The 11,361-nt window shown below is 43.3% G+C and overlaps 1 annotated feature.

Moving 5' to 3' along the window:
- Positions 563–892: an enhancer, noted in NCBI's record as "active region_4639". NCBI's record gives its function as "activates an Ori minimal core promoter by ATAC-STARR-seq in GM12878 lymphoblastoid cells {active_cell/tissue: GM12878}" and the evidence as "EXISTENCE:reporter gene assay evidence [ECO:0000049][PMID:35858748]".

The following is an 11,361-nucleotide window of genomic DNA, read 5'->3' as shown; positions in this document are numbered from 1 at the left end:
ATGGTTAAACTTAGTTACAGATCTGTGTCTGCTACTGGGCAGGGTTTGTCTTAGTTGTCCTATCCTCGGTGTCTGGCATGGAGCCTGCCACGTAGTACGCATTCAATAGAGATCTGTGAATGAATGGATGCATTTTATGTAACTGTCACTGTTTTGCAAAATGTATGTTTGTCGTAAGTTTTCATAAAAGATTCTAGAAGATAGAATACTTGGAGTCAGTATAACTTGAAGTCAATAGATCCTGACAGGAGGAACTTGGGAGAGAGTGAAAAAGATGAGAGAAAGTGGAATAGGGTGAAGTATTCTTGCTGCATGCTGCTTTCTTGTTTCTCTCCTTCACTAAGGAGGGGAGCCATCCTTCCTTGCGCCTCTAACCCCAGTGCTCCTGCCTACACACGTTTCTGCCTCCCAGTTGCTAATTCAGCCTGCTGTGAATGCCCCTGCCAGTGTCCCTTCCCCAATCCAGAATAACCCCATTTCTGTGTGTGGCGAACCTTTGGCCATGCAGCTGCTGGCACCATGCACAGCCTTCCTGGCCATGTAGCTGGCTCTCCAGTGCACTGCCCCTGGAGAAACCCCTCCTCTCTGCCCCTTCTCAGCTCTAGTGTGGACATGCCCTGCTTTTGCCCTCTCTGTTCATCCAGTACCCTGAACCTGTTGGGGCCCAGCACCTAAAGGGGGAACTTCTTTCATTTTCCATTTCCTCAGATTCAAAAAACAAAAACCAAAAAACCCCAGCACAGCCTGACTCATTGTAGGCATTCAATATGTGTTCATTTCTACCTTCACCTCCTCAGAACACAGCCTCCAAGCTGCTGGCCTCTAAGCAGTCCATGCACTGGCTTCATCCTCTCCAAGCGTCCCTTTCACAATGGGGCCCAGAAATGTCAGGGGCAACAATGTTTTTCATAGCACAGCCTTTGAAATTCTGCCTCCAGCCTTGTTCTCTGGTCCAGCCAATCTCCTCACTGTCCTAGCCCAAGCCTTGCTGGCCCTGGACTCCCTGAGTTGTTTCATCAGCCCCCAGTACCCACCCTACTCCGTCTCTGGTCAGATCCTATGCTCCCTTCCCGGCCCTGTTCACAACCCACTGGCCCTAAGGCAGCTTCCCTGGTCCTTGCCATCTCACTGATCACACTTTCCTGCACATTTCTGTAGCATTTAAATCCAGAACTCTCCCATATGTCACTCATTTTATATTATTGTTTCATTTTGTATTATTTCCTATTATTTTACAATTGCTAGCCTTTTCTCCCTGCGGGGGCTTTGTATTATCTCAACTTAGTTAAGCCAGAACTATGTTTCCCAGAGTCTCTTTCCCTGTATGGCTCTGGATTAAGGTTGGCCAAAGGAGAAATTTGCTCAAGAATTGGAAGGCAGAAGGAAAGCAGCAACTGTGATGTTCCAAAGGTCAATGTCGAGCACCTGGCACAGGTCGCTGCAGAGCTACGTCCCATCTTGCAGATGTGGGTCCACAGCCAGAACCCTTGCTCCTAGAGCTCTACCTGATCCCATCTCTCGGCTCCCAGAGTACCAGGCAGGCACGTGTGCAGCTCTGTGGCAGAGGGTGCCATCTTCTTATTCTGATCGTTACCACCAAAGAAATTGGAGGTGGTGACAGACAGGCGTGGGTTTTAGTTTGTCTTTGTGGGTTCTAGTTGATTCTCATGGGTTCTGGTTTGTCCTTGCTTTCTCCCACATTATGTGCAGCTTTTCTTCCCGACTGATGGCCTTGTTGACCTGCAGTGACTTCTGGCCACCACCAGACACAAAGGCAGCCTTCCATAGACTTCTTCATCAGCTCCCACAATTGCATAAAGTCTAATTTGTATAATAAATTCCTTATTGCATATCATGCAAGTAGTTCTGCTTCTGTGATTTAATTCTAACAGATACATTCCCCCTTAGGTTATAGACACCTTGAAGAAAAGGGCCAGTGGTTCATGCTTGTAAAATCCCAGCACCTCGGAAGGCCAAGGCTTGAGGATTGCCTGAGCCCAGGAGTTTGAGATCAGCCTGGGCAGATAGAGCAAAAAAGTTAACTGGGCATGGTGGCATGTACCTGCAGTCCTAGCTACTTGGAAGGCTGAGGCAGGAGGATCACTTGAGCCCAAGTTAGAGGCTTCAGTAAAGTATCATCACACCACTGCATTCAAGCCTGGGCAACAGAGTGAGACCCTCTCTCTCTCTCTCTCAAAAAAAAAAAAAAAAAAAAAAAGAATGATATCCCTTTTCCCCCTGGAATCTATGCCTGTGATCAGCAAAATCTTATTTTAGACTTTATGGACCACATAAAGTCTCTGTTGCTTCTCTCCACCTCTGCTGCCCTTCCCTTCCCCACTTCCTTCTTCTAGTACTACTATTTCTTCTACTTCTTCTCTACTTCCACTTTTCCTCCTCCTCTTCCTGCTTTATTTTCTTCTCCTCCGTTTCTTCTTCCCCTTCTTCCTACTCCTTTACAACTTTTAAAAAATGTAAAACTATTTTTAGCTTACAGACCATACAGAAGCAGGCCACAGTTTTTGGATCCTTGGTGTATTCTAGACCAATCATTCTCAAAGAAGTGGCACTGCACTCTAGAGAGTATTTTTTTTTGGTGGGGGGCAGGCACAGTGATTGGTGGTATTACTACATTTATTAGGCAAGGTCTAGGGATGATGAACATCCTGGAATATACCAGGCAGTCCCACCCAAGAAGGAAAAGCACATATAGTATTCAAACTCAAGTCACCCAAATAACACCTCTGGCAGTGGTCTGCATCTGTAGCTGTCAATTCCATAGTGATTTATGTGTTTAAATGTAAACATCTGACTACTTCTTCATCTTGCAGGTTAGTTTTGCCTGAGCATTTGAACAATTTTCAAACTTTATTTCTTTAAGTATTTTTTTCTGTTCCTCCTCCTCCCAGGAATTCCAAATACACTTATATTAGGTGGCTTAAAGGTGTCCCACAGCTTCATGATGATCTACTTTTTTTTTTTTTTTTTTTTTTTTTTTTTTTTTTTTTTAGTATTTTTTCTCCTTGTGTTTTATTTTGGATAATTTCTATCGCTATGTTTTAAAATTCACTTGTATTTTATTCCGCAATTTCTTTATTTTATATTTTTTTTATTTTTTATTTTTTTTGAGATGGAGTCTCACTTTGTTGCCCAGGCTGGAGTGCAGTGGTGCTTCTTGACTCACTGCAAGCTCTGCCTCCCAGGTTCATGCCATTCTCCTGCCTCGGCCTCCCCAGCAGCTGGGACTACAGGTGCCTGCCACCACGCCTGGCTAATTTTTTGTATTTTCAGTAGAGACAGGGTTTCACCGTGTTAGTCAGGATGGTCTCGATCTTCTGAACTCATGATCCTCCCACCTCGGCCTCCAAAGTGCTGGGATTACAGGTGTGAGCCACCGCGCCCAGCCATTATTCTGCAATTTCTAATCTACTGTTAGTTCCATCCAGTGTATTTTTCATCTCACACACTGTAATGTTCATTTCTAGAAATTCAATTTGGGTTTTTTCCTATATCTTCCATAGTTTAAAAGCCCAATCTTTACTCTAGCTTATGGAACATATGAAATACAGTTACATCAATGCTTCAAGCATACTTATCTGCTAATTTTATTATCTTATCTACTAATTCTATCATTGATTTTTATCCTCATTATGTGTCATATTTTTTGCCTCTTCACATCAATGATGATTTTTGATTAGATGACAGAGATCACCAATTTTACCTTATTGGCTTCTTGCATGTTTTTATATTTCCATAAATATTCCTGAGCTTTGTTCTGTTATACAATTAGGCTACCTGGAAAATTTTGAGCCTTCCAGACCTTGCCTGTAAGTTTTGATAGGTGATAAGAATAGTATTTGGTCTAGGGTTGTTTTGCTCACTACTGGGCAGAACCCTTCTAAGTACTCTCTCTTCATGAATTATGAGATTTTCTATTCTGACTGATGTTAACAGGGACTGTTCCCTGTGAGCACTGGGAATCCTCTAACCCCTTTAATCTTTGCAGATGATTCTTTTTCTATTCTCAGGCAGTTTTCTTTCCTTTTTTCTTTTCTTTTCCTTTCTTTACTTTTTTTTGAGATGGAGTCTTGCTTTGCTGCCCAGGCTGGAGTGCATGATCTCGGCTCACTGCAATCTTGGCCTCCCAGGTTCAAGCGATTCTCCTGCCTCAGTTTCCTGAGTAACTGGGACTACAGGCGCCTGTCACCACGCCCAGCTAATTTTTGTATTTTTAGTAGAAATGGGGTTTCACCATGTTGGCCAGGATGCTCTCGATCTCCTAACATTGTGATCCACCTGCCTCAGCCCCCAAAGTGCTGGGATTACAGGTGTGAGCTACTGCGCCCGGCCTCTCAGGCAGGTTTCTTACCTGCATACTCTGATCACTATTCCGTTAAATAGTCAAGGAGGATATGTATTCTCTTCAGATTTCCAGAGCTCTGTCTCTGTACAGCCCTCTCCTCCTCAATATTCTGCCCTGTGAATTCTAGCCACATTGGCCTTCCCAGACTTACAGTTCTGTCTTCTCAACTCAGGAAGATCTCTGAGCTCCATCTGCATTCTTCCTTCCCGTGCTGTGGCCTGGAAACTTTTGGGACTAGCCTCCTTTGTTTCTCATCTCTTGAGGATCACTGCCCTTTGTTGCTTGATTCCAGTGATTGATTCCCTTTGTTGCTTGAGGGCCATAGTTTCATATATTTTGTCCAGTATTTTTGTTGTTTTAGGTCAGAAGGTAATTTTGGTCTCTGTTACTCCATCTTGGCCAGAAGCGTAAGTCACTTACCTATGCATTTATATGTCAAAATACTGCATATATAATTTTAGTTTAAGCTACTTTTTAAAAATCTCCTTCATTTTCCATTTAGCATTCTTTTTAGGTTATTACATTGATTTTTTGGAAATTCTGTTACTGGCAGTTTCTATTGCCTATCAATTTCATTTAAAGATAGTGCATAGGATATTCTAAAATAGCTGTTAAACAAAGAGAAAATCGGGCCTGATAGGGTGAGAATCACAGCTCTAATACCTAGAGTGACTTTATAATGTATTGTCCAAAGGAGATACTTTTGACAGTGAAAGATGGTGTTGTTAGTAATTATATCAGGACCATGGCCTAAACCAGGACTATCCCAGGCAGCCTGGGAAATATTTGTATCCCATCTCTATTTTATGCCTTTATACAATTCTTTACTGAACTCTAAAGCCTTTATTGAGCCTGCTTTCTTTGTCCAGCTGAGTGTCACGTGCTGACATCACTAAGATCAATAAGGCAAACTCTGAAAGATGGACAGAGAGACAGGACATGGTCCTTTATAATGCAGTGTGATCTGTGCTCCAATAGAGGTGAGCACAAGGGCCTTATGAAGGCTCAATGAAGAGCATGTTTGATGGCAGGGGAGGGTACTTAGGGTAGAGAAGATGAGTCGAAGTATGTTCATAGGGACCGTGGGATAAGAGGTGGTGGGAAAGGTATTCCAGACAGTGTGTGTCAAGGCCAAGAGCCAGGGGAACACAGGTAGGACTTTTTTTTTCTTTCTCTCTCTCTTTTTTTTTTTTTTTTAAATTCTGAGATGGAAGAGTGTGCTGCTTGGCCGGAAAACAACATACATGGGAAGCTGTATGGAAATGAGTGGAGAAAGGTAATACTTACGGCAACAGCAGTTAATATTTAGTGCCCACTTACTACATGCTGGACACAGTTCCAGGTACTCTCAACATATTCGCTCATTTGATCATTACAACAGCGCTATGAGGTAGGTACTGTTATTATCCCCATTTTCAGATGAGGAATCTGAGGCCCAGAGAGAGTAAGTACATTGCCCAGGGCCACACAGCAAGTATGTGGTAGGTTCTGGAGCTGAATGCAGAGTCCCTTCACTCTAAGCTCCTGAGAGCCAGATGCTATAAGGCCTTGTTATTCCAAGTGGAGGAATGCTAAGGACGTCATCCTGCAGGCGACCAGGAACCCCTGAAGCATTTGAAGCAGGGGAGTGACTTAAAACTAGGTGGTGGATATACCTAATGCTAAATGACGAGTTAATGGGTGCAGCACACCAACGTGGCACATGTATACATATGTAACAAACCTGCACGTTGTGCATATGTACCCTAAAACTTAAAGTATAATAATAATAAAATTAAAACAAAAAAAACAAAAAAACAAGGTGGTATAAGAAAGTGCTCCCAGAGCAGCATCAAAGTTGGGTGTAGTGGATGTCTCCACTAGTCACAAGAGGTAGTAAGAAGTTGAGCTAAAGCAGCTGCAGCAGGGATGCAGAGGATGCATTCCCTGAACCCTTATAGGCAGAGTCCTTTGGCCTCAGTGACTATGGCGAAGGGTGCAGGGGAGAAGCCCAAGAAGATGCCAGGTGTCTGGCTTATGCCCCTGTGTGAATGTGAAGCCTCTCATAGACATTCCGGTTACAGGAGGAAAAGCAAGTTTATTTGGGAAGGAGGCTTCTAGACCATGACTTCCATTTTAGCCATGTAGTTTTTGAGGTGCTTGTAGAAGTTCTAAGTGGAAATGTTCAGGAAGCAGTGGGGAACTCAAAAGTAGATCTCAGGAGAGATGCTTGGGCTAGAGGGCTTGGGGAATCATCAGCATGGGGGGTAGGAGGAGAGCTGGTATTTGGATGAGATTGCAGTGGAGCATGAATAGAGTGGGAGGATGTGGTGATGAACCCAGGGACTCCACTGTGCGGTAGATGGCTGTGAGATTAGGAAGCAATGAAGGAGGCCAAGAAGGATGTTGGGGAGGAGCAACAACAAGGAATAAATGAGTCGCATGTGCTCCAGAGAGGCCAAATAAAGACTGGATTTGGCTCTCACAGGTCATACATGAAAGAATCTTGGAACAAAAAGGAAAACCGCAGTGGTTTAAGGGGTATATTCAGTTTCTAGGTCTGCTGTCACAAAATAACAGAAACTAGGTGTCTTGATAAAACAACAGAAATTTATTCTCTCACAGTTTTGGAGGCTAGAAGTTCAAAACAAGGTGTAGGCAGCATCACGCTCTCTCTGAAGATGCTAGGAAGAATCTGTTACATGCCTTTCCATTTGCTTCTGGGGTTTCTGCAAGTCCTGACATTCCTTGGCTTGTAGACGCATCATCCAGTTCCCGCCTCTGTCATCACATGGCTTCCTCTCTGTGTGTATGTCTGTGTTCCCTCTCCTCTCCTTCTAAGGACACCAGTCATAGTAGATTAAGGGTCCACTCCTAACCAATTACATCTGCAACAACCCTATTTCCAAATAAATTCGTATTCTAAGATTCCTAGGAAGAACATGAATTTTTGGGAGTGTGTGAATACAGTTCAACCTGGGACATGGAGTAAATAAATGGCCAGGAAGGTTACAGATTACTTTAAGCTAGAGAGGGAGATAGGGTTAAATGAATGTATGACTTTTTTTTTGTTTTTTCCAGGATGGGAGAGGTTTAAACATGTTACTACATTGAGTAAATGAAAGAGCCATGGATGTGGAGAGGCTAAAGATTCTGAACTAAGCGCAAGTAATTGACAGCATAAGCTCCCAAGGTGCTGGGGCCTGGAGCGCAGATGGATGGATCAACAGTGGGCAGAACTGGAGCATGGGAGGGTTGTGCAGATGCAGATGTGTTTGAGGGTGGGGGGCCAGAAGCTGAGTGGGGTGAAGTGTGACAGGGCAGCTCTGAGCACCCTGGAGGTGTTCACCAAGCAAATCAAGAGCAGATGGCAGAGCAAGCAGCTGAAGTAACAGCTTGTGAAATCAGCCCTACTTTGTGGGGAGAGGATTAGTTAAGGATTCCAGCCATTGGAACAAAGAAGGGGAGGATAATCTGTTCATGCCTATTATGGGGCTTTGGGGGAGCAGTTTTAGCCTCAACCCGGAGAATGTTTTAGAAGGCCAGAGAGAGGAGGCCTGCGATCATGTGAGCCGACCCCTCACTTTGAGATGAAGTGTCCACACAGCAGTAGCGCCGCCTTCTATGTAGTGGTTCTAGAGTGTGGCAATCTGGAGGGGTCATTATGGAAAAGGGCTGAAGTATAAGAATGTAGGCCCAATACTGAGATAGAAAGAGGATTCTCCGAGATGACTTAGGCAGGGTGGTGGTGGTGGAGGTAGATGTAAAAAGCCCTCTGCTGCCTCAGTCCCAGCATGGAATTCAATTTGTCAAGAGCTGAGCCAACCGTATTAGCCTTAATTTATTCCTCAGGTGTGGAGAATACTCCTCAAGATGCATTCAAAGTATAAGCTACCCCTTCCTCAGGGGAGGACTGCCCAGAAGATTTGCAATTCTGTCATTTGGAAAGTCTCTGATGTCTCCCTCAGCTCTTCTCACTCTTTTGCTTCAACACATGTTAAGACCAGGCCCCTTAACTGTAGAATCAGCATGAAAAACAAGTAGGTTTCAGGAAAAATTATCCCAAATGGAATCTCTACTGTACTGTTTATCAGATGGAAAGCTTAAAACAGTGTAAGAGTTTTTACAGTTTTATATCACACCAGTTTTGTGTCCATAGACGGGCTTTTTCTAGATCAAACAGGTCAATTGTCCTTTTGATCCTGGCCTAAAATCTGAGTAGATAAAAAATATTTTAGGAGAGATGAGATTCTAACCCTTAATGGCAAAAAGCAGGGCTGAGCCCTAGGCCCATGTTTTTACACATATTATACAATTGAATGTGTTGTGCTACAGCTGGAACACTAGTTCTCAACCAGGGGCGATTTTGCTTTCCCGAGTATGTTGGCAATGTCTGGAGACACTTTTTTTTCCATTTTCAAAAATTGTGACAAAGCACCTAACATAAAATTAGCCATTTGAACCATATCATGTGTATAGTTCAGTGGCATTAAGCACATTCACACTGGTGTGCAACCATCACCACCATCCATCCATATAACTCTTCTCATTCTGCAAAACTGAGACTCTGTACCCATTAAACACTAACTCCCCATTTCCCTCTTCTCCTAGCCCCTGACAACCATCATTTCACTTTCTGTCTCCATGATTTTGACTACTCTAGGTACCTCACATAAGTGGAATCATACTGGTGGAGGCATTTTTCATGGTCACAACTTGGGGTGGGGTGCTGCTGGTGTCTAGTGGGTAGAGGCTAGGGAGGCCACTCAACATCCTGCAATACACAGGACAATCCCCACAAGAAAGCATGTTCTCACTCATAGGTGGGAATTGAACAATGAGAACACATGGACACAGGAAGGGGAACATCACACACTGGGGCCTGTTGTGGGGTGGGGGGAGGGGGGAGGGATGGCATTAGTCGATATACCTAATGTTAAGTGATGAGTTAATGGGTGCAGCACACCAACATGGCACATGTATATATATGTAACAAACCTGCACGTTGTGCACATGTACCCTAAAACTTAAAGTATAATTAAAAAAAAAAGAAAGCATTAACTCCAAACATCAATCCTACCAAAATTGAGAAACTCTACGCTAGAAAAATCCCATTAATAATCTCAAGCCATGGAGACTAGTTATGTTGCAATAAGAAACCACCTCCAAATTTCTGTGGCTTAACACAACAACTCATTTTTTTGTGCTAACATGGAGCATCCTTAATCAGCAATCCAGGCTGGTGGGAGTTCCATCCTGACCTGGGCTTCCATGATGACTGAAGCAGGAAAAGGATCAGTGATAAATTGTGCACTGGCTTTTAAAGCTCCCATCGGAAGTGTCCAGGTCATTTTTGGTCACATTTTCTTGGCCAGATCAATGCACAGGTCCACATCTCACTTCAAAGGGAGTAAGAAAGTGCATTTTTACTCTGAAGAAGGACAACCACCACACCTAGCAATTAAAAATAAACTTCATAGTGTTATCACCTGCTTGAAGTGCTGATACCAGAGCAAGCCTACCAGTAGGAGTGGTGCAGGCTGCAGGGTTTTTTTTTTTTTTTTTTTTTTTTTTGAGACTGCACTCCAACCTTACTCTGTCACCCAGGCTGGAGTACAGTGGCATGATCACAGCCCATTGCAGCCTTGACCTCCCCAGCACAAGCAATCCTCTCACTTCAGCCTCCTGAGTAGTTGAGACTACAGGTCCGTGCCACCATGCCTGGCTAATTTTTTGTATTTTTTTGTAGATATGGGGTTCTACCATGTTGCCTAGGCTGGTCTCAAAATCCTGGGTGCAAGTGATCCACTTGCCTCGGCCTCCCAAAGGGCTGGGATTCCAGGTATGAGTCACCGCACCCGGCCCAGGCTATATTTAATGTGGCGTGTGTGTGCTGCCCACAAGAGTCATTCTGTGGCTACCTTGTTCTGCATCTTCATGTCTTGTGATCAAACTGGCCTCTGCCCTACTTCCAAAGTTTCTCTCTGCTTCTGCCTTATCTCCTTTTTGAAACTTTAGATTACCTGCTTCTTCAACTGCAGACCTGCCTCTTCTTTTGGGCCTGATGTTATCTCCTTTTGGCCTCAACACACTCAGATAACCTGAGGCACCTCTGCTTAAGCAGATGACTTTGTGTCAGAACTTTCTGACAAGTGATTTAGCAGCAACTATGCTGAGACTTAGGTGATTGTGTTTGGAAGGTATTTCAAATATTTAAATGAGTAAAATCCTTTTTCTCCATCCAATAGGTCATTTTTTAAAAAGAGGGTGGCTTTTCATCCTGGCTGTACACTAGGGTCACTGGAGAGCTTTTAAAAATATTCTCCATTTCAAGCCATTCTGAATTAATTGTTTGGGTTTTTTATAAGAAGACTGAGAATTACAGGTTGATCCCTTCAGTTGGAGCACATTTTGCATGCAATTCATCCTGGTTGGTCCCATGAAGAACTCATCTCTTTAGGAATTGGAGACTCTTTTTTGAGAAGGCGGTTGATTGGTAACTCCTGCTCTTAAATCCGTTATTTTTTTTCCTTTTCTCCATTGTAGAGCCCAGAACTGTGGGGCCTTAATCAAATAAGAAACTTATTCAAACATGTCAGATGATTTTAAGGTATTTTTAAAGGAAAATTTTTACCCTACCTTGAGTATTCTTGTGGAATACTCACTTCCATGTGGCAGTGAAATGGGCCTTTGCCTAAGTGAGAAGAAAAAGAATATCCATCACTTCCTCAGGGGCTCCTGTGTAATTAGCATTGCACTGAAAAATTTTTACGTATATTATTTAAAATCCTAGACACAACCATGCAAGGTTGGTATTATTATTGCCTCTGTTTTGCAGCTGAGGAAATCAAGGTCCAGAATGATCAAGCAATATCGCACAGGTAAATTGGTAGATTTGGGCTTGAAACCCATATCCATAAATTGAAAGCTCTGGGTCTTTTTATTACATCATGCAACATAAACTGAGGACAATTCAGGACAAGTTGGAGTCAAGACTTTACCCCCTATAATTATAAGTT

This window comes from Homo sapiens, chromosome 11, assembly GCF_000001405.40.
Source record: "Homo sapiens chromosome 11, GRCh38.p14 Primary Assembly".
NCBI lineage: Eukaryota > Metazoa > Chordata > Mammalia > Primates > Hominidae > Homo > Homo sapiens.
This window is presented reverse-complemented; position numbering and strand designations above follow the sequence as displayed.